The sequence below is a fragment of the Homo sapiens genome, chromosome 4 (assembly GCF_000001405.40).
Source record: "Homo sapiens chromosome 4, GRCh38.p14 Primary Assembly".
Lineage (NCBI taxonomy): Eukaryota > Metazoa > Chordata > Mammalia > Primates > Hominidae > Homo > Homo sapiens.
Genome location: NC_000004.12, coordinates 163,103,317 through 163,127,766, shown reverse-complemented (window position 1 = coordinate 163,127,766; position 24,450 = coordinate 163,103,317). Strand labels below are relative to the sequence as shown.

At 37.0% G+C, this 24,450-nt stretch overlaps 1 protein-coding gene and 1 long non-coding RNA gene across 7 annotated transcripts in view; one reads left to right on the top strand and one right to left on the bottom strand.

The window, feature by feature from the left end:
• The window catches only part of NAF1 (nuclear assembly factor 1 ribonucleoprotein), a 62,962-nt gene extending 39,124 nt beyond the window's left edge, over positions 1–23,838 (top strand). Inside the window, exons 9-11 of one of the 6 annotated variants that reach the window (XR_938798.4) lie at positions 652–705; positions 16,152–16,208; positions 17,477–23,838. Coding sequence is in view for 1 of the 6 variants with exons in the window: in NM_001128931.2 (NP_001122403.1) it covers positions 652–788 (137 nt within the window). In the remaining 5 variants the exon portion in view is untranslated. Of the gene's footprint in view, positions 1–651; positions 3,191–8,095; positions 8,238–16,151 lie in introns of those variants that run through there. The other 5 variants (XR_001741349.3, XR_938799.4, XR_001741350.3 and 2 more) reach the window with 5 other exon arrangements.
• LOC101928081 (uncharacterized) lies at positions 7,894–17,552 on the bottom strand. Its single transcript, XR_244745.4, has 3 exons — positions 17,467–17,552; positions 10,260–10,332; positions 7,894–8,382 (listed from the first exon to the last, which is right to left on the bottom strand). It is a non-coding gene; the product is annotated as an uncharacterized LOC101928081 (long non-coding RNA).
• Positions 23,839–24,450: the final 612 nt, after the last annotated feature.

Below are 24,450 nucleotides of genomic sequence, written 5' to 3'. Positions count from 1 at the left end.
CCCCACTTTTCTTCCCCATGAGCTGAGGGGACTCTTTGCAGCATTCCTAGTACACAAGTTGAGAGGCTCTGCCTTGGTATACCTTAACTTTATCATATGAGTACTTTCTTCATTATTTTTAAAAATATTTTTGCAACTTCTCTTTAGAAGTTACCTTCACAGGTTATAGCACAGTCTTTTTATGATTGTTAGAATATTGTAAGAGTTCATGAGATTATATCTAAAAGCACTAAAAGAAAAACCCAAATCCTTTTCCACAAGAATGGGAACAGTAACATGTTATTATTAGTCATCAAGCTGTTCTGATCATCATGGCATTTAAAAACCTGTCCATTTCGGCCGGGTGCAGTGGCTCATGCCTGTAATCCCAGCGCTTTGGGAGGCTGAGGTGGGTGGATCACCTGAGGTCAGGAGTTCGAGACCAGCCTGGCCAACATAACGAAACCCTGCCTCTAGTAAAAATACAAAAATTAGCCGAGCGTGGTGGCACGTGCCTGTAATCCCAGCTACTCGGGAGGCTGAGGCAGGAGAATTATTTGAACCTGGGAGGCAGAGGTTGCAATGAGCTGAGATCACACCATTGCACTCCAGCCTGGGTGGCAGAGCAAGACTCCATCTCAAAGTAAAAATCTGTCCATTTCTTTACCCCAGGTACAGGTATATCTCACAGATATTGTGGCCTCGGATCCAGACCATTGCAGTCAAGTGAGTCACACAAACTTTTTGGTTTCCAAATGCATATAAAAGTTACGTTTACATGCTACTTTAGTTTATTAAGTATGCAATAGCATTGTGTCTAAAAAAACCAATGTGCATATCTCAATTGGAGAATACTTTACTGTTCAAAAAATAATAATGACCCTTTGAGCCTGCAGTGAGTTACAGTCTTTTAGCTGTTGGAAGGTCTGGACTCAAGTGCTGTTGGCCGCTGACTAATCAGGGTAGTTGTTGCTAAAAGTGGCAGTTTCTCCTAATAGATAGCAGTGAAGTGTGCTACATTAATTGGCTCTTCCTTTCACCAAAGATTTCTGTGTAGCATGTGATGCTACTTGATAGCATTTTATTCTCTGTAAAACTTTGAAATTTGGGATCAAGTCCTCTCAAACCCTGCCACTGCCTTATCAACTAAGAAGGTAGCATTCTAAGTCCTTTGTTATCATTTCAACAGTGTTCATAGCGTCTTCACCATGAGTAGCTTTTACTTGAGAAACCTCATTTTTGCTTATGCATAAGAAGTAACTCCTCATCTGTTCAAGTTTTTTCGTGAGATTGCAGCAATTCAGTCACATCTTTAGGTTCCACTTCTAATTCTAGTTCTCTTCCTATTTCTACCACATATTCAGTTATTTCCTCCAGTGAAGTCTTAAACACCTCAAAATTATTAATGAGGGTTGGAATCAACTTCTCCCAAACTCCTGTTAATATTGGTATTTTGACCCCCCTCATAAATCATCAATGTTCTTAATGACATCTTAAATGGTGAATCCTTTCCAGAAGGTTTCCAGTTTACTTTGCCCAAATCCATCAGAGGAATCACTGTGACAGCTATAGCCTTGCAAAAAATATTCTTGCATAATAAGACTTGAAAGTCAAAACTATTCCTTGATCCATGGGCTATGGAATGGATGTGTTAGCAGGCATTAAAAAAATTCAACTCCTTGTACATCTCCATTGGAGTTCTTGGGTGACCAGGTACATTGTTAATGATCAGTAGCATTTCAAAAGAAATCTTTTACTGAATGGTGGACTTAACGTCTTCAGTAAACCATGATTTTAAAAGATGTGCTGTCATCCAGGCATAGTTTTTCTATCTATAGAGTCTATAGAGCACAGGCAGAGTACATTTAGCAAAATTCTTAAGGACCCTAGGATTTTTGGAATTGTAAATGAGCATTGGCTTCAACTTTAAGTCACCAGCTGCAGTACCCCTAACAAGATAGCCTGTCCTTTGAAGCTTGGAAGCCAGGCATTGATTCCCGTTCTACAGCTATGAAAATCCTAGATGGCATCTTCTTTGAATATAAGGCTATTTTATGTACACTGAAAATCTGTTGTTTAGTGTTTAGTGCATCCATCTTATCTAGATCTTCTGGATAACTTACAGCTTCATCTTGCACTTTTATGTTATGGAGATGGCTTCTTTCCTTAAACCTCATGAGCCAACCTCTGCTACCTTCCCACTGCAGTTTCCCACTGCAGTTTCCCTCTGCGGTTTCTCTCAGCCTTCGTAGAATCGAAGAGAGTTAGGGCCCGCTCTGGATTAGGCTTTGGCTTAAGGGAATGTTGTAACTGGTTTGATCTTTTATCCAGACCATTTAAACTTACTCCATATCTGCTGTAAAGCTGTTTTGCTTTCTTATTCCTGTGTTCACTGGAGTAGTACTTTTAGTTTCTTTTAAGAACTTTTTCTTTGCATTCGCAACTTGGCTGTTTGGCACAAGAGGCCTAGCTTTTAGTTTGCCTCAGCTGTCAACATGCTGTCCTCAATAAGCTTAATCATTTCTAACTTTTGATGTAAAGTGAGAGATGTACAACTCTTCCTTTCACTTGAATACTTAGAGGTCATTATACGGCTAGTGATTGGTTTAATTTCAGTGTTGCTGTTTCACGAAATAGGAAGGCCTGAGGAGAGAGAAAAGGAAACAGCAGATGTGTGGAGCAGTCAGAACATACACATGTATCCATTAAGTTCACTATATTATATGGGCATAGTTCATGGTGCCTCCAAAACAATAGTAACATCAAAGATCACTGATTGAGATCGCTATAACACAAATAACAGTTAAGAAAAAGTTCAGAATATTGGGAGAATTACCAGAATGCGACAGAATACATGAAGTGAGCATATGCTGTTGGGAAAATGGAGTTGATACACTTGCTAGGTGTGGGATTGCTACAAACCTTCGATTTGTAAAAAATGCAATATATATGAAGTATAGTACAATGAAGTACAATAAAACAGTGTATGCCTGTAGTATTATCTGACTGGATGTTTACTATCTACAGAAACATCTGAATTATACCATTTGATCTTTGCTTTAAATTAAGTTGGTGTCTTAACCACTTAGGTCTGGTTGCCTTCCTCTCTATACAAATTGGCCCTCTATGTCTGTGGGTTCTGCATCTGTGGGTTCAACCAATTGTGGATCGAAAACATATAGAAAAAATAAAATGTGTGGTTGCACCTGTACTGAACATGGTAGACTTTTTTTTTCTTGTAATTATTCCCTAAACAATAAAGTATAACTATTTATATAAGGTTTACGTTGTATTAGGCATTATAAATAATCTAAAGAAATTGTTTAAAGTATTGGGAAGTGATTAAGTCATGAGGGCTCTGCACTTATGTATGGATTAGTGCCTTATAAAAGGGGCTGGAAGGAACTGGCTTAGATCCATTTTGCTCTTCAGTCTCATCCACCATGTGAAGAAGACTCAGTATTCCTCCCTCTGGAGGATGTGGCAACAGGGTGCCATCTTGTAAGCAGAGAGCAACCATCACCGGACACTAAACCTGCTAATGCCTTCATCTTGACTTCCCAGCATCCAGAACTGTAAGGCGTACTTATTTATTTTAGAGACAGGGTCTTGCTATGTTGTCTTAGCTGCCCTCGGACACCTGGCCTCAAGCAATCCCTTTGTCTCAGCCTTTTGAGTAGCTGAGATTACAGGCGCAAGCCACCATGCCCAGCATAAATTTCTATTGTTTTTATAAATTACTCAGCCTGTGGTATTTTGTTACAGCAGCACAAAAGGACTAAGTCACCAACTGTCTCTTATTGGGGAGAGAGAAATAATGCAGTTGTCATTATCCTCACCTTAATCTTACAGTGCTTCTTTAAAATTGTGTCCCTAGATCTTTAAACTGATGTAAAGGCAAATACTTAAAATGTTCCACTCACACAGTTTCTCACTTTCTATGGAGAATTCTTTATATTAGCCTTTTACTATATAATAAGGTAGGCTGACATTCACATGATTGTGTATGGATAACCCCTTTGCATGTCTACAGTTGCAAATATAGAATGAAATTAAAATCATTGCCTAAGCTAATATATTTGTTTTATTAAGGTGAGTAGCTGTAGGCCGGGTAGGGTGGTTCATGCCTGTAATCCCAACACTTTGGGAGGCTGAGGCAGGAGGATTGCTAGAGCCCAGGAGTTCAAGACCACCAACCTGGGCAACATGGTGAAACCTTGTCTACAAAAAATACAAAAATTAGCCGAGCATGGTTACGCATGCCTGTAGTCTCAGCTACTCAAGTGGCTGAGGCAGGAAGATCACTTGAACCCAGGAGGTTGAGGCTCCAATGAGCTATGATCACACCATGGTAATTGGGTGACTTGTTTACTTATTAGAAATAGATAATTGAAATAACTGGGTTGAGACTGTGCTACAGTTTGGACCTTTGTCCCCTCCAAATCTTGTGTTGAAATGTGATCCTCGTGGAGGTGTTTCGGTCATGGGATGGAACCCTTATGAATGGTTTGGTGCTGTCCCCATGGTAATGTGTGAGTTCTCACTCTGTTAGTTCACACAAGAGCTGTTGTTTAAAAGAGCATGGCACCTCTCTTGCTCACACTCACCGTGTGACATAACTGCTCCCACTTCACCTTCCCTGTGATTGAAAGCTTCCTGAGGCTCTAACCAGAGGCAGATGTTGGTGTCATGTTCCTTTTACAACCTGTAGAACTGTGAGCTAAATAAACCTCTTTTCTTAATAAATTACTCAGCTTCAGGCATTTCTTTATAGCAATATAAAACAGACTATTACAGACTGTCTAGGGGAAACCTGGAATAGAGTGCAGTTTCATAACTTACCAAAGGACATGTTCTGTTTTGTGCTTTTTTATCAGAATATCACAGACTGGGTAATGTATAATGAACAGAAATTTATTGGCTCACACTTCTGGAGTCTGGGAAGTCCAATATCAAGGCATGGCATCTTGTGAAGGCCTTCTTGCTATGTCATCACATGGTGAAGGCAGGAGGGTAAGAGAGGACAGGAGTGGCTGAACTCACCCTTATAATGGTAGAAGTCCCCCAGTGAGGGGGGAGCCCTCATGGTCTACTCACCTGTTAAAGGTCCCATCTCTTAATACTGTTACAGTGGCAACTAAATTGCAACATGAGTTTTGGAGGGGACAGACAGTCAAACTATAGTAGGATACTTCTTAAAAGCCATGTAGTTAAGTCATATAAATTCCAAAATGTATCAGTTTCTTCTGTGTAGGTAAGTGACTAGTAATAGAAACTAAATTATTAATATGTACTAGTGGGACATAGGGAAGATGTAAGTAATTACCATGGTGCCTGTGTACAGGTCTCCATTGTTTTGGGGCAATGAATATCGAATGCTTTCTCATTCTTTTCCTCTTTTCCCACCAAATTGTGATTTGTCACTCCTCTCCACTTCTTTTTGTTCTGCATTTTTTGTTGATTGTTTAGAGCTGGTGAACAGCAACTATATTTAAAAAAAATTGAGGCCAATTTGGTAAAGAAATGAGAATCTGAATTCCAGTTTGCTATAATTTTAAGCTATTTATTAAATATAAAGAAGTGGTATTTAAAATTCTCAGGTATTGGAAATCTTACTGTATGTTTTAAGGAACAGTTTCTTAAAGTCCTAATCATTGAATTAGGGAGACATAGAGTCTCAAATATAATGTGTCATTTGTATGTATTTTCTTTCAACGATAATGTTTGGCATTTGGATTTGATTTTATTAACTTAAAAGTTTTTAGGCAGTATGTTAAACTGGCTCAATGCTTCGTACTAGTTCTTTTACACAACTTGCCATTATTGAGTTATTTTCTGTTGCAGAAAAGGCAATCTCTTTCACCTCTGGATGACTCAAATCAGGAAATATAAGCAAAAGAAGATAAACAATTCTTTCTGTGTCTTTACTTCTCAGTCTTTCCCAATCTGGCTGAGGCACATAAAGCAGACTTGAGGAAATTCTTTACTTAGGACACTATCTTAACCTGCTCAGGGTATTTAGAATTTTTTGAAATAAGCAGTCATGTACTTCTATAAGTGCTAAGGAAAGTAAATTAGTGTATTATTAAATATTAGATCTTAAAAAAAGAATTAAAAACTAATTTGTAGAATGAATTCATGTTCACACAATATGCATTCATAAAATATTCAGTCTGACGTTTCATGTTTAACACCAATAATAATCTCTGAGGTCTAAATGTTTAAAAAGTAGGTAATTTTAGTAATGCAAGCTGGAAAATATAAAAAATAAAGAACAGTATTATTCACAAGAATTCATTTTCAGGTAATGTTGCAGCTACACTGTTCATGATTTAGTGCATTCGGGATACAAAAGAAAAAAATGCACATATTTGTGTCCTTTTCTGCAGATAAATTGCCAGTATTTCAAAAGTTTTTTTTTACTTCTCATTTTGTAACCCAGTCCAATCCTAAATTTATATGGATATAAATTAGGATATGGATAATATCCTGTATGGAAATGGACTACATGCAATTATGTTCCAGAAACCAAGGGACTATTTTCTATAGTGTGGCTGAAATTAAAGTTGAGAAATATTCCCTTAATATTACCTATCAGGCTGGGCGGGGTGGCTCACACCTGTAATCCCAACACTTTGGGAGGCTGAGGCAGGCAGATCACTTGAGGTCAGGAGTTCGAGACCAGCCTGGCCAACATGGTGAAATCCCATCTCTACTAAAACACAAAAATTAGCTGGGTGTGGTGGTGCATCCCTGTAATTCCAGCTACTCGGGAGTCTGAGGCAGGAGAATTGCTTGAACCCGAGAGGCGGAGGTTGCAGTGAGCCTAGATCGCTCCACTACACTCTAGCCTGGTTGACAAAGCGAGACTCCGTCTCAAAAAAAATAAATAAATCAGACCAAAGGACTTGTTTTGAGCTACTAGCAGCAATAAAATTACATCTCATTTTTGACTCTGTGCAATGATAAATTGCTGTCATTGGCAGACTAGATATATGCAATTACCTGAAAACAAAGTACAGATTCATGTATCAAATGGTAAAATACTTAATAATGAAAATAAGCCATGAAGAAAAACATCAAATATTTTCTTCTGTGCATTCTATAGAAAGCATACATTTACACTATTATCTGTATAAGTACACACATATTTATTTGAAGGCTAGTACAGAAAGCCTAATTGTTACGCATATTTTAGTTGAGTACCCTTTCATTTCTACTCATATAAAGGTGAAATGGGAATAAATTTTACATTGCATATCTTACAGTTAGTTCCATTACTCCATCTTTCAAACAGAACAAACTGACCTTGTTTATGTGGTAAAAGCTTTTTATTTATATTGAGGATAGATGGGCCAAACATTGTTTCTAACAAGAGATATGACCCAAATAGTAAAATAGAGCAGATGCAAAGGGATAAAATATTAGTATAGAATTCCTATTAAAACGTAATAGATAGATATGGTGGTGTGTAGTGTTTGGATGATAGAGATGAACTTCTAAAATGTTCTCAGTGTCAGTAGCCACTACAGTGTGCAAAACCTATTATTGCAGCTCTTTAAACCTTTTATTATTGCAGCTTTTCAAGTGTTTTATTGTGTGCTCCCATGACATACAGGAGTGCTGGGAAACATTTGCACTCTCCCCCAACCCACAGCTCTTGCAAATGTCTGTTTGATTATGTATCATGCAGCATTTCATCTCAGACATGATTTGGCACTGTTAGGCTCAATTATATAAGCTTTCTTAATAGTTGATTTATTCAAAGCAAATGATTAATTTTCTTTAACATCAGTTTGGTTTTTGTTTTTGATTAGGTATAATTGTTCGTATATTTGTTGGCAACAACGTAAGTTCAGATGAATTCTGTTTAGCAAGATTATGGGCAGAAAAATATTTACCGGCAGAAGAAAGTAGCTGTGGGCATTAATTTTATTCATTCAAATCCTATTAAACTATATCAAATTGCTGTTGTGTAGGCGATCTAATATATGACTGTGGAATATATTACTTTCCATATTTATTTTTATTAGTCCGATCTAATATACGGACTGTGGAGTATATTACTTTCCGTATTTTTCTTCATAGAATATCACCCTGTACCATTATTCCACAGAACACACTGGGAAGTGCTGTCATAGAAGATAGCTGGAAGACATTCATGGCAGTGCACATTTCTTGGAGATGTGTTTAGTCTTGCTAAGAAGACAATTAGAAGATCATGGGAGCCAGAAGAAATCTCAAATCTCTCGCATTAGGTTAGGAAACTGCTGTTCATTAGTGTGGGCTCTGGTTCCTGGTATTCCAGAACTCACTGAAAGTCTGTAAGATGTACATTTTTCTCGGGAGATTCCATGGCTTTCATCTTGTTTTCAAAGTAGTATCTGAAGACAGAAAAAGAGGCTGGAGACAAAGAGTCCGTCATTTAGGATATAAATAGGAAATCATTCTTACATTAAAAGAAGGGGCACTATATTCAGCTTAACAAATTTAATGGTCTGTCCCTATTTTATGAAGCTGATTCCAGGCATATTGTGATAAACAGTGAAATCTGAGCAAGTCCACACAAATTCTAAGGACATTCTACAAATAGTTAAAAAATGCCCATACGCAACAACAACAGAAAAGGATAAGATACAAATGGAATGTAGAAAATCATTCAGAGAGGTTTCTGGAAGGAGAGAAATGAAGACCAGAATGAGACCATTCTCATAGGCCTAATAGGCTAAGGTGTCTCTCCATTTACTTAGAGGACCTGAAAGTTTATATATAAGTCTTATAGTTGCATAATTTGTTTTTGTTATAGAAAAGCAAAATATATAAATTGCCCTTATAAAAAAGTAGATTCAGTCATGCTAGTTAATATTTTGTTAGTTCTCATAGAGTTCTAGTCAAAGGACCCATCCAGGTACTTTTTCACATAGCTGGCTGGACTGGATAGATATGTCATGACAGTTCCTAATGTGGGCAAGTAGCAATGACCGTTACAAATGCTCATATAAAATAAGTTTTATTTCTTTTTTTTTTCTTTTTTTGAGACAGCGTCTCTCTCTGTCGCCCAGCCTGGAGTGCAATGGTGCGATATTGGCTCACTGCAGCCTCTACCTCCCGGGTTTAAGTGATTCTTGTGCCTCATCCTCCCAAGTAGCTGGGACTACAGGCATGTGCCACCACGCCCGGCTAATTTTTGTGTTTTTAGTAGAGACGGGGTTTCGCCATGTTGGCCAGGCTGGTCTCAAACTCCTGACCTTGGGTGATCCACCTGCCTTGGCATCCCAAAGTGCTGGGATTACAGGCGTGAGCCACCGTGCCTGGCCAAAAATAGGTTTTATTTCTGTCTGTGAATGTAACATGAGATATGAGAATAGACTTCAGTTCTCATACAGTGCTCTACTTGTCATAATATTCATGACATTTTATTGTAATTGATTGCTTAAATCATCTTTTCTGTTTAAGTATTGTCTGAGGGCCAGCACTGTTTTATTACACCTGTCCCTACTCTAGTACAGAGAAGCTACTTGAGAGACAGTAACTGAAACCTTGTTTCTAGATACCGCTTTCTGATTCATCACCCCTGGGATTCTCCTTTGTGTTTCTAGAGTATAGTGGTTTATATGTGTGGATTCAAGATTATTGTGACAAGCATTAGTGAGGATTCTTTTTTTTTAATGACTTGAAAGTATTTCACAAGGTATCATAAACCTATTTTAGCACAGATTTCCAGGTCAGTTGTTCATCAAAAATGGCTCTGAAAGATAAATGGAACATGAATTCTCTTTTTCTTGGAACTGGTTTTGAGAGGACCCTATCACCTCTAATTTGGAAATCATAGCATTTTAGAAAAATTATTATTTTTTCCCTAGGATAATAAAATTTGCTTAAAAAAATTCAACTTCAGATGACACCAAAATTTGGCTACCAAATGATTAAGGCTAATCAATCTGCAAGGTTTTTGGGTTGATCTTTATATGATCATTCAGTAAGAGTGTATCCATGCTGTTCTATCCATAAACATACCAGAGTGCTGACCTTTACAGATAGCAACGAATAATGGATGATGTATTCATGCGTGTGTGTGTGTGTGTGTGTGTGTGTGTGTGTGTGTGTATTGCTTCCAGGGAGTTTAAAAATAATAAGAGAAGACTTAGTATCCTAGGAGACATTTGCTTTCCCTTTCTGGTTTTCTCTACTTTGTAAAATAGTTCAGGATGAGAAAGCCATCTGAGGCCATGTACTTAGATTTACTTGAAAGTATGAAAAAAAAAAATAGAAGCACAAACCTGTAAATCTCTTGGAGCAACAAGTGGAGAAGTACATATAAGTTGCTGTTAATATTTCCGTTAATGAACCAACCTAGTGAAATTAGAGAGCCATTGAAATTTAATATATTCATTTATTCAATGAACATTTGTTTTGTGCTTATTATTGGTCAGTCATTTGATGCTGGGAATGCAATCCTAAGTGCAATATTAGAAAATGGATGAATAAAGACACTAGGTGCTATAATACAAGTATATGTTTGTACAAGGTATGGTGGGAACATAGAGGTGAGAAAAGTCTATTCCACCTTGGGTACAGATGGGAAGAGGAGGAAGGTAGGGAATAATTCACAGAGAACATGATCTTAGGGCTGAATCTTAAAAAATAAAAGATAAACCTGAGAAAAGCCGTAGAACTGTAAAACAGCTCAGCATGTTTTGAAACCAGCAGGTAGATAGGTATGACGGGTATGAAGAGTGTACAAGGATGGAATAGAAGAAAACAATTCCTAGAGCTAGAAAGTAACCATAAGTCAGGTGACAGGAGACCTTTGGGGCCTTACTGAGGAGTTTGGATTTTATCCTGGAAGTAATGGGACATGAATTGACAGGACTCTGCAATGTTAGGGATTGTGCTGCAGAAGGAAGATGTCTGGAATGACTCTTGGCTTTATTGATGGTTTGAATGGCTAGGTAGGGTGGTCGTCCCTGAAAAAAGGGATATATTTTGCATCTTTTATGTGTTTACATCTTCACAACAATTTTGTGAGGTAGTAAACATTAACATTTTATAAGGAAGAAAAGTGAAGACTTGTATAGGTTAAAGATTTTGTTTGATTTCTTGCAGCTAGTACTTGATGAAATCATGTGGAACACAGGAGTTGTCTGATCCCAGGATCTGAGCTTGTAGCCACTATTGTAGGATTCCTCAAAGGCACTAGTAAACCACAAGATTTTCAAAGTTGGAATTGAGGAAGAGAAGAAGAAATATTATAACAAAGACTAAGGAAAAAAACTGTTAAATTTATATTTAAGGAGACATTAGTGCTAAGAAATTCTGCTAGAAACTAACTGCATATATTTAATACCCATATATGCCTTAATACAGATCTCTCTCTCACACACACACAGACATACACACACACACGAACAAAAATAATTCAAGGTTAACTCAGTGATAACACTTTTCTATTCATCCAATTATAATTTTCTCAAAATTCCATAATAAGGACACTTGTGGTAGCAGTTTCATAATTAAACTACACATTTTCAAGGGTTTCACTTATGTATACACCACTGGGTTAAAACTTCATAACATTTTTGGACCTATTAATTAGTTGGAAACTGGATTGTTGTTTATTAGCATTAACTCAATATCAATCAAAAACTGATGATGTGTCATCAGATTGCCATATTGTGTCAGTTTTAGGAATTTATTTAGAATAAGTTTAGCAAGAACTTAGACTTCTAAAATCTGTTGAATTGAATGCATCTGTTGCATCTTTATTGGTTTATTAAATCAATTTTGCTTCAAGAGGCAATTTAGTGTCATGATGATATTAGTATACATGATAATTTGGCAAATGTAGTTTTTTGTTTTACTTTTAAAATTGTGCATAGAAATAGATCTCTACAAATAAAACTGATAGGGAAGAATTATGCAAAACAGCTGCAAGATTTTGTTGCATTTGTACACATTATAAAGGGTACAACTTGTATTTTCAGTAGTAATTTCCTATTAGTAACACTGGTCAGTGGTCATATTGAAAGAACTTGACTTCTTTTCTGTTTGTAGATTTTTCCTGTTTACTCATTTAAATCAAAATGTAACCCACAGGATGTGTCAGCCCAGTCACAAAAAAACTACCAATAAAAATTTGCAAAAATACTGCCCAACCTTCCAAATAAACTTAATTAAAGAAATAAAAATAAAATTAAGAATACTATTTTGAGTGTATCAGATTGGCAAAAAATAAATAGAAACATGATTATCATACTGAGTATGGCAACGGCTTCAAAAAAATTATTGTCCTGGCTGGGTGTGGTGGCTCACGCCTGTAATCCCAGCACTTTGGGAGGCCGAGGCGGGTGGATCACGAGGTCAGGAGATCGAGACCACGGTGAAACCCCGTCTCTACTAAAAATACAAAAAATTAGCCTGGCGCGGTGGTGGGCGCCTGTAGTCCCAGCTACTCGGGAGGCTGAGGCAGGAGAATGGCGTGAACCTGGGAGGCGGAGCTTGCAGTGAGCCGAGATGGCGCCACTGCACTCCAGCCTGGGCGACAGAGCGAGACTCTGTCTCAAAAAAAAAAAAAAATAAATAAAAAAATTATTGTCCTATATCGCCAATAGTATCAAACTTTATTGAGAATAACAGAAAAAATGTAGAGTCTTTCATGCCTGTGGTCCTAATGATCCTACGTTTTGAAATTTATTTATGATGACATTATGAAGAAAGTCTAATTGACTGTCACATTTTTATAGTTAAGATAACCGTCATAGGAAATAGGATGATATTATGAATAACTTTATGCCAATAAAATGTAAAAATGTAAGTGAAATAGTCAAATTTCTAGAAAAACTTATGAAAATGGATACAAAAAGGAATAAATTATCAGAGTAGTCCTCTATTAAGTAGAAACCATATGGAAAAATAAAAGAATCTTCCCACAGCAAATACCCCAGGTCCAGATACCTTTACCAGTGAATTTTACTAAATATTTTAGGACAAAATATGTAATTTTACGTAAACTTTACCAGAAAGTAGAAAAATAAGAGACAATGTCACCCATTTGTGAGGACAACATAAACTTGATGCCAAAATCTGACAAGGACATTATAAAGAAGAAAAATTGCAAGCAGATCTCACAAATGTAGATATAAAAATACTACTCACAGAGTGAATTAACAACATGGAAACAGCAAATATAAAAAGAAGATACACTACCAAGTGGGACTTATTCCAGGAATACGAGATTGGTTTAACACGTGATTATCCATCATTATTCATCACATGAACAGAATGTTCTGAATTTATCAACTTGGCACTCCCACTCCTGTGTAAGCCTTGAAAATAAATTTTCTGGAATCCTGTGTTCAGCATAATTCTGGATTCGAGTTGATCAAGGAAGGCACTCACAAGATTGGACAGGTAGAAGCAAAGGAGGGGTAAATACCAGGAGGAAGCTCCTGGTCCCAGACTTAGTGACAGACACAGGTAGCTCTAGCTTCTAGCTCTGCCCAGCTTCTGGACCTGCTGACTACTAAGTGCTTTATTGCCATTTCCTCAGAGGCAGTAGATTCCACAGACCTCTCCACAAATCCCCTCTGTGGTTCTACTTCAGTGGCTAGATACATGCAGTTTCCTGAATTTTACCTCATGCTCCTACATACCCACAACTGTCATATTAGTGATGCTGTTATTTCTCCATTCTCTTCCAGTCTTTCCTTTTCCAGTTTCCCACACATTGGTGTATGCTCTAATTCCTGTGGTAAACCTCCTTTTCACATGATATTTGTAGTGGCTTTGTTTTTCTGACCGAATCTTGGCTAATACAGTTTTTGGTAATAGAAGTGAATTAGAGTAGAAGCAATAGAATTTTAAGGATGAGAATCCTACTAGATTTAAAGGCATTAGTGACCTCATTGCCATGGTAAATAAAACACAAGTAGTCCATGGCATGCAATAACTAAACAGGTAGCTATGGTCTGGAGAAGATAACTTTAAGTGATCAAGTAGTTGCTGCAATAAACATTATTGTGGGAATAAAGAATAAAGGCTTTTGCATTGATTTGATTTCTACTAAGTGTACTGGAGGATACGGAAGAAGGAAAAGATGAGTTCATGGCTTTAAATCCTAATCCACAACCTGGGTAGGGATCCAGGAAACTTCTATAATTGTCCTGGAAAACACAGACACAGAGAAATATCTCCTGTAGCTGCAGGGTTAAAATTTCTGAAAACCAAGCTTGAAGTCTGATCCTGTGGGCGGCTGAACTTACAAATGCAGCATTGTGGATGCATCTCAAAAACATGATGGAGAGCAAAACTTCCAGATACAAAAAGGATATACGGTCTAATTGCATTTTTGAAAAGATGAAAAAATTAAAACTAACCTTACAAGTTTTGATGGCATAACTATTAAAAAAATAAAAACAAGGGATTACCATAGATGTTAGGAGAGGAATTATGAAAGTGGAGAAGTGAATAATAATTGGGAGAGGACCAGAGGGGACCGTTTCCATGCTGGCCATACTCTCTTCCTTGGATTGACTAAGGTAACAAGGGGGATCGCTTTGTGATAGTTTTTTGAGCTGTACACTTATATTCTGGAACTATCTATATATGTATTATTTCTCAAAACCAAAAGGATTAAAAGGAACCCTGAAGTGCTTGCCATCTAACTGGGAAACAAAAGACAAGATTCTTAAATGGCTGACAAGTCTCTAAATAATCTGGCCTCCTACTAATGGTTTGATGTCTCAATTTTTCTTCTTGTCTCCCTTTGCTCCTGCATCTACACATATAGAGTTGAACGTGATCGGAGAAAACCCAACACTCATGCTGTCTGGTATCACTTGAGATTCATAACTACCAAACCTAAAAGGGAGCCTTAAAGCTGCAATATTTTTTTCCTAGTCCATTCACTTGTCACTCACCAAGGTGACAATTTCATAACTCTCCTCTACAACCTTCAAGCCTTCTGTTCCCTGATTTCACTATCCCTCCTCAGTAGCAGTTTTGTTTTCCTCTTTGTACTGAGAAAATGGAAACAGTTTTATTGGGTGGACATAGAGCTGTATCATCCACATCCCTCTTCACAAAAAGAGCCTTATACCCCAGCTGCTGGGGTTAGCAGATATCTTCCAGCATTCAGCAACTATAAAGTCCATCTCACTTATGGAGAGCCCTAAGTGCACCTTTCTAGGGGGAGCCCAAATCCAATGTCCATTTCCAGAAGGAGTGGTTGAGGGCAGCATAAAGGCTGGAGGAACAAATCCAGAGCTCTCTTTGGGTTGGTTAAGCTTTGCCAAGCATGTACTGCAGTTTGAATTTCTCCTCCATCCATGTGTTTCCTCTCTCTCCCTTCCCTAAGTGTTGATCCCTAACACATGTTCAGTATTCCAATTTCCATCTCAGTATTTGCTTCCAGTGAATCCAACCTGTGATAGCTCAAATACATTCAGATTTCCATCACCATGTTCACCTACCAACCTACTTTTTTCCTCAATATTCTATGACTGCCTTCTTTACAGAGTACTTTTACTTAAAGCTAATCACTTTATTTGTGTACTGTCTTTGCTTACTGAGAGAGAGAACTCTAGCAATTTTTCTCCCCCCCCAATCATTTTTTCCATTTTGTAAAATCGCTATTATCTCTCTCATCTTATTTTTTTTATCCTTGCTTTGGCCCATTTCACCAGCTACTGAGCTGTTCTGCTTTCTTTTGCAAAATTATTAATAATCTCAGACTCCCAATTCCTCTTCTCCCATTTCCTCTGTAGCTTATTCTAATCAGGCTTCCCCCTCCATTAGTGGAAACTGCCCTTTTCAAAGTCATCAATGGCTTTTACAGTGCAAACTATGATGGTCTGACCTCAGTCTTCATCATACTTAACGTTTTTTGCGTGATTGATAAAATTTTCTACTCCTTAAAATGTTTCCCACTTGGCTTCCAGGACATCAAACTCTTTTACTTTTTTCTCCTCCTAGTTCACGGCTCACTCTCAGATGGGCCACCTAGTGCACAATTCGAAGAAATGCCATTTACCTAGAACAAAACACTAGCGGTGGCTCTACTTTCTCAGTCCCCTTTTCTAATTGATTCTCTTTTCCCTGTCTCTTAAGGTAGGAGGGTCACAGAGTTCATGCTTGATCCATTTATGTTTTTTATGTACACATTTCTCTTCCAGACACTTGGACTCAGAAATGCACAAACTCCCTGACATCTTTATTTAAATGACTAATAGGTATGTTAACGTCCAAAATGAATTCTAAATTCACCCCAAACTTGCGCCACTGGACATTTCTGCTCCCTCAGTTTATGACAACTCCATCCTTCCAGTTGATCAAGCTCATTCTATTTCATTTTATTTTGTGTTTCAAAACAAAATAGAAGAACAATAAGGATTGTATATTACTTTTACTTTATGCTCAGAGATGGGGAGGGAATAATGGTGGTTAAAGAATTAACCTGCTTTCCAATTTTCTAGGGATAGCACTCTGAATTTAAATGTTTCAAATGGGTTGACAACTACCAAAGACATTTTCCCACTACTTCCTCCCTCTCCTCTGGTATTCAATTACTTCCTAACTTGACTCATATTCACCTATTTTTTTAACACCAAATCAGTCCTTCAGCTTTGTATCTAGAAGTATATATTCAACACTTGTCACTTCTGAAAAAAACAAAAGGTAGTTATGCAATAGTTGAAGTTATGTCCAGAAATCTACAAAAAAGTTTTTTTGCGAGATATAAATTAGTAAGGAGTTTTCTGAGGAACCTTCAAAAAGCAATTTTTGGGGTTTACCTTTTTTAAAATGTTTCCGGTGTTTAATATGTGAAAAGGAATACAATTTCTAGTTATTATAGAGGGAGAAACAAAACTCAAGCAGCTCTATCTCAGTTTTGATGTAGGCCTTAATCCATTTTTAAAAAATATAAATAAATCCCTAGAGATTACAGTTCCAGGTTCCTAAGACTAAATATGTAAATAACTACGCTACAAAGTGCTAGAGCTCATCAATTTTGAGTTAAAAAAATCCATAGTAGAATTTAACTTGATGGAAACAAAAATAGGAAAACCAAAAACAAAACTGAAAGCTTAAAATCTGTCTCTAGTTCCTGTCCTCTTTCAGTGGAAATGTATTGAAGCAAATAAACATCACTTTTGCTTGACCTTAGATTTCCAGATCAGTAAGAGAATATGCAAAATTCATTTACAAGTTAACTTTCAAAGTTAAGATGATGATACAGTAGCTCCCCCTGAGCCTTGGGGGATATGTTCCAAGACCAGCGGATGCCTGAAATCACAAATAGTAGCGAACCCTATATATACCATGATTTTTCCTATACTTACATACCTATGATAAAGATTAATTTAGGAAATAGGCACAGTAAGAGATTAACAACAACTAATAATACAATAGGACAATTATAACAATATTTTGTAGTAACAGTTATGTGAATGTATTCTTTCTCTCTCAAAATATCTGATTTTACCTCACCTATTTTCAGACCATGGTTGACTGAAGGTAACTGAAACCACGAAAAGTGACAGCACAGATGAGGGGAGAGTACTGTATCCTCAAATGATGGTATGGCTGGTGATGGTAACAGCAAGTCTACCAGCCTAGTCAAGCATTCTTATCCATAGAAGAGTTGCCATGGGAACCTCATGGCAACCCACAGATTTCAAGTACTGTATGTTCTGCCTAAATAAATAATGAAAAGCTATCTTACTGAATGTTCTCCATATCTGCATACTTAATAGGGCAGGATGCTACCTCACATATCATTTGCAGTAAACAAAGGTAAAAATGAGAGACATACAAAAGTAAGATAAGGATTACATATCTGCATTTTAAAAGCACATTCCGTGTTAACTAATTATGTTTTCATTTCATTCTGGATCAGAAGATCAGACACACATCATTGCTTATTCAGACCTCACCTGATCCTATTTATAGGCCCCTCTCAAACTCACTGAAGATGACAGTAATCTCTATATCTATGCAGAGTGTGAGGTAATTCTAGGAGACACCTTTCTGTGCAAAATGTCAGGTGTTAGCTCCCCATGGAGCACTCTCTCCTTGCCACTTGGGGACCTCACAGAAACAAGTCATAGCATTCTTTTTTTAGGCTGTGAGGTAGGGTTAGATCATCCTCACTTTTCTGTTACCACTTGTGTTCTTTCTGTATGTGCTTTTTAAATTCACTAACTAATAGAAAAATGCTTTGAATACATTATTAACCTCACAAGAGGATTTTTTTTCTTCCTAGACATTGAAATATTTTAGACACTAGAAAATAAAGGATTTTTAATAAATGGAGTGTAACTACTCAAAACTTTTTTCTTCTTTCCCCAAAGTGAATAAATAACAATTGTAGGCTAATGTTTCAGATTAGCATAGGTAGATAATATTAGTTTTTAATCATGAAATTATTTTAAGTGCATCATTTGAGAGAATTTATGGTATAAATTCTCTATAAATTTTATATTTGATAAGAAATACGAAGATAGAAGCTAATGAAGAGGGAGAAGAACTAAGTATTCTTGAGTTGTTTGTGAAAGTAGTAATTTAATCGAAGTTGTATTCACTTAGCCCCTCCAAGATTAAGTTTCCATGTGAAAAAAAAAAAAAAAAGGGTGAAAAGGAGAGCACCAAAACCTTACATGACTGGAGATGATTTAATAAAAAGCTTGTTTCTGCTCCTCACTGAAATGCCTTGGAATATGATAAGTACAGTCAGAAAGTTTTTAATATTTACTCTCAACATACAGTAAAGATTTAGGAAGAGAAAGGACGGAATAGGGAACTCAGTCTTCCTAAGCCTAATTTCATTAAGAAACTTAACAAAGGGAAAAGACACTAAGCCCTTTTCTTGTAAGAAACTCACCTGAAAAGGGAAGGGATCCAAATATGAACAAGAACAGTGACTTAGCACTGGCTTCTCAAGAAGATATGTTTTCGTCTGGTGCATAATGCCTGGCACATAGTAGGCCCACAGAGAGTATTCACTGAATGAGGGAATGCATGATAGAATACATTAGAGAGTGTATTTTTGCCTGTGTTAACTTTAATTGAATACATTTTAAGAATAATATGTTACTCTTTGAAAACCCATATTCTATTAGTTTTATAAAGCATAATGGAAGAAAATATCAGTGAAGCACCATTTATTTTAATTGTAAAGATTTCTTGATTTATCAACCAATATGGAGGACATTTTTGACTAAGTGAAAAAACAGGTTAGTGTAAATCTTAGCAATTATTTCTTTAATCTGTGACTGGCTTTCTCTTATTGAATTCAGTGCTTAACATTTGAATATTATTTTCTTTTCATAATTGAAGTTGGGGAGTAAGAGATGTTCTCCAGGTGTCAACTATTGTTTTAGGAGGCTTCAAAAGAAACATGAGCAAGCTATTGGCTAATGGGCTTGAATTAATGGTTATTGGAAAGTTAAAGATGTACCATATGCCATGATCTAGGTACCTACAGCCATTTCTCTGTTCTTTCTCCATATCCTTGTCTCTCATTCTTCCACAATCCTTCCCTGCCTATAAGCAATTACAGTGAAAAATGCTGGAGTAGAATGACATAAGATCTTTTAAGGTCAAGGGCCAGGTGATTTCAGATACTATGACTTTTCAGAAAGCCCAAATAAGTTATTTCCTTACTTACATCGCTGTTGATATATGCAAATTATGTTGCATGCAGGAAGAAAAAAAAATTTTCTTAATTTCCACACTCTAGCAAGCTAAATGGTTTGAAATATACTTGACAATGTTCTGCAATATTGAAAGTAGTATCTATTTCTGATGTTTCAATTCCTGTATGTCAAACATTATCAAAGAGGGCAATATCGCCCCCAAGGGGATAAAACTTCATTATTGGAAGGTGGAAAGTTCTTATCTTTTTAATGTACAATATTAAGCACAGACATACATACAGTAATTACAGATACAGCATATCTGGGGTATTATAATTTCATAGTGGGGGATTAGGGAAAAAATATCTAAAAAGGCTCCTTGGCAAGCAGGGTGGAGGGGATAACCAAAAAAGCTTAAGAAACACTATTGTACATTGTGCTTTCCATTTATTAAAAAAATCTTATTCTCCCCAGGTTCAGGCTAATGGAACAAATAATAGAGAACTAATAGTCCTATGGGAACCATTTTTTTAAAATAGTCGAGCAATGTAGGACTCTCAGGTAAAAGCTTCTTTACAGACTGTGCTTAGATCTGGGACTGAAGTGAGGTCCATATTGTTTGAATTGTAGTCAAGTCATTCCTACAAGACGATCTAAACCTGAAACAGAAAGAGGGAAAGCTCTGTCCTGGAGAGAAAATTGCACAGCGAGAGCACAGTGTACCTGGACACAGAGTGAAAGAGCAGGCTGAAGGAGCCTGCTGTATCTGAGCACAGGCTGCTCTCAGCAAGTACACATAGAGACTTGCTTTTGGGCCCAATGATCCCCTTTACTAGCAAAATGACGTAAGTAGCAAGAGTCTCAAAGTGCTAGGCACAGTGGCTCATGCCTGTAATCCCAACCCTTTGGGAGGCCAAGGCGGGCGGATCACTTGAAGTCCAGAGCTTAAGACCAGCCTGGCCAACACGGTGAAACCCCGCCTGTACTAAAAGTACAAAAATTAGCCAGGTGTGGTGGCAGGTGCCTGTAATCCCAGCTACTCGGGAGGCTAAGGCAGGAGAATCACTTGAACCCAGGAGGCGGAGGTTGCAGTGAGCCGAGATTGCACCACTGCACTCCAGCCTGGCTGACAGAGCGAGACTCCATCTCAAAAAAAAAAAAGAAAGCCTCAAATTAGCCACTTTTTCTAAGAAAGGTAGGCGTGGAGAAATAACCCTGAAATGTATCATTCTTTGAAAATATGAGAAAAGAATGGAGGATTCTCTCAAATGTGTGGTACTATAAATTGAAGTGAATTTTGTCTACTAGTTTTGCCTAATTTGCCACTGATAAATAGATCTTTATTTTAGATTTCTCTGTATAAGTTAATATTCATCTAACACTCAGGTTTTTTTTCTATATTCTCAGAAAACATACCTCAGAAAACATAAGATTAACTCTTGATTGTTTTTCTGAATTATTTATTAATTAAAATAAATTATTCCATTTTTAGGCTGAAATCTTATTGGATGATTCTGTATTAATATAAGAAACAAGTGGGCAGAGAAAAATACAGAAATAAAAAAATGACTATTTACTATTCATATTATTTCAGTAGTTCTTTTTCACTTTAGTTTTCATTACTATAGAAAATGGAAACGCTAGACTAGTGTTGTCCAATGAAATACCCTGCTGTGATGGACAGGAACTATATAGGCACTTTCTAATATGAAAGTGCTAGCTATTTGGGATTAAGTTCTTGAAGTATAGCAGTGGGACTGAAGTATTAAATTTAAATTTCATTTAATTTTAATTAAATTTAGCATATAGTCACTTGGGGCTAGTGCATTACCATATTGGTCAGTGCAACACTTAGATTCTGAGGATGTTTGGCATACTTTAATTTACAAAATCAAATTCCTTAGTTTGAAATAATGTAATAAGAACACTGGCAAACCATTGTGAGTTTTCCTCACTACACATATTTGGGGCTCCTAGGTTAATATTATGTCTTTGTTTGGGATAACTGTCAATAGTGGTCTCCTGGTTCAAATCCAAATGAGGCCTCCCACAGGTGTGGTTAATGAAAATGCATTGATTAATTGTGTGTTTCTTACACAAAAAAACTAACATCCTTTAAATGATTAGACTAATATTAAAGAATATTGACATGTTTAAATGAAATATGCAACTTAGAACAAAATGTTTAGAAGTAAACATTTTTCAAGATATAATTGGCAACTTGCTCATAATTTTCTTATTCTCAATCATAACTTAAGCCTAATTCTCAGCAGAAGTTGAATTAGAGCTTGCATTCAGTGACAAAACCTAGCAGACAATTATTGAACACTGCAAAAATAAACATGTTTTCCACATCTGCTAAAAGATTTAAGACAGATACAAGCCAGACAAGTCCAAATAATTTACTTATAAAATGCAATATACTTGTTTAACCAAAAGGAAGTATATCAAATTTATTTGAGTTAAATAGGCATTCTATTTTGTAGGGATGAAATTTTGCTTATAATATAATGAAAATGTAATGCACTCTTTATGATCTTAAGAAATTATTTCCAACAGATTTTTATGCAATAATAAAAGACTGTCTTCTAAAGTTTAGAGACAGCATGAGATAGGATATTCATATTAATTGGTTTAATATTAAATAGCTGACGCATTTTTAGTTAAGGGTCACAGATAACAGCTTCAAAAGTGATGTTTCAGCTTGTGATTATTCTATTTGCCTCCAGTTTTTACTTTAGGAACTATTTACAGGTAACATTTATTAAGCATTTTGAACTATACACCAGGCATTGTGTTAAGTGGTAATTCGATAGATGTTATCTTACTTAATGTTTATAATAATGCTATTAGAGCTGTTATTATCTGAATTATATCATGAAGTAAACTGCAGTTCACAGTGATTAACTTACCAAAGCTCACACAGCCAGCAAATTGCAGAGCTGAGATTTGCATCAGGCTCTGCCTTAACCCAGAGCCCATGGCTGATATCTTAACCTCTGCACCAACTGCATCTTAAGAATTTTCCAGCATATAACAATACACACCAGGAACAACAATAGAAACTTCAAACTAATGATTAAATAGTAGAGGGCTGCTGATCCCTTCTTATATACTGCAAGAATAACACTTAATAAAGGATGAAGAAAGATTTGTACTGAGTCTAATAAAGAAAATTTCAACGACTGGTTTTGTTTTGGTTTGGTTTTCTGAAACATAATTTCCCAATGCACAAAAAAGCACTGAGCAAATTGTTGAGTTATGGATATAATTAAGTTAGGTTTCTCTTATGCACAAATAATAGCTTTCCTAGTCATTTATACTAAAAATCACCACGAATTTCACAAGATCTAAGTGATCAACATTGAAAGTGGAAAGATTGCTTTGCCAGGATTCTTATGGAACCTCTTGCTCTGCTGTTACTCAGAAAGTAAAGCGTATCACTTTTATTGCATTGTAAATTGTTCCTTAGTGATCTTTCTGACCGGCTAATTAGTGAGTTCAGTGTCTGGGATGGGTGAGTCTTCTTAAATATAAATATCTATTCTTGATACTTTACTATAGCTGAGTAATTTCAGAAATAAAAACAACATCTTTGGGTGTCCAAGGTTGGTTATATCAGTAAAACTAGAAACAAAATGAGATCATAGGTATGAAATATATCAGAATCCAATATTAACCCAACATTAACCATATTTTTATAGCCATTTTTACAAAGTATCTTTTTTCAGTGAGTATGTATGTTCAAATTTATTGAAAACCTATTTTTATGAATTGCGAAGTACACCAAATATGGCATTAATAGAACTACAGCCTTAACTACATGCTTATTGTCAGGCCTCTGAGCCCAAGCTAAACCATCATAATCCCCTGTGACCTGCATGTATACATCCAGATGGCCTGAAGCAAGTGAAGAATCACAAAAGAAGTGGAAACGGCCGGTTCCTGCCTTAACTGATGACATTGCGCCATTGTGATTTGTTTCTGCCCCACCTTAACTGAGCGATTAACCTTGTGAAATTCCTTCTCCTGGCTCAGAACCTCCCCCACTGAGCACCTTGGGACCCCCACCCCTACCCGCAAGAGAACAACCCCCTTTGACTGTAATTTTCCACTACCCACCCAAATCCTGTAAAACAGCCCCACCCCTATCTCCCTTCTCTGACTCTCTTTTTGGACTCAGTCCGCCTGCACCCTGGTGAAATAAACAGCTTTATTGCTCACACATAGCCTGTTGGGTGGTCTCTTCACACGGACGCGCATGACATTTGGTGTGGAAGCCCGCCTGCACCCAGGTGATTAAAAAGCTTTATTGCTTACACAAAGCCTGTTTGGTGGTCTCTTTACACGGGTGTGCATGACATTTGGTGCCGTGACTCGGATTGGGGGACCTCCCTTGGGAGATCAATCCTTTGCTTCCCTGACTGTTCCTAGGCTACAGCCACACCTCGTTGCCACCCTTTTCCCCAGTTCACAGCCTCCTTCGCATCCTCCCCTTGTATCTCCCCACCTTAATCCACAGGTATGGGAAACCTCTATTCCCTCCTTGGCGACTGATCATGCACCCCTTACCATCCCATTAAAACCTAATCACCCTTACCCTGCTCAATGACAATATCCCATCCCACAGCACACTTTAAAAGGATTAAAGCCTGTTATCACTCCCCTGTTACAGCATGGCCTTTTAAAGCCTATAAACTCTCCTTACAATTCCACCATTTTACCTGTCCAAAAACCAGACAAGTCTTACAAGTTAGTTCAGGATCTGTGCCTTATCAACCAAATTGTTTTGCCTAACCACCCTGTGGTGCCAAACCCATATACTTTCCTATCCCCA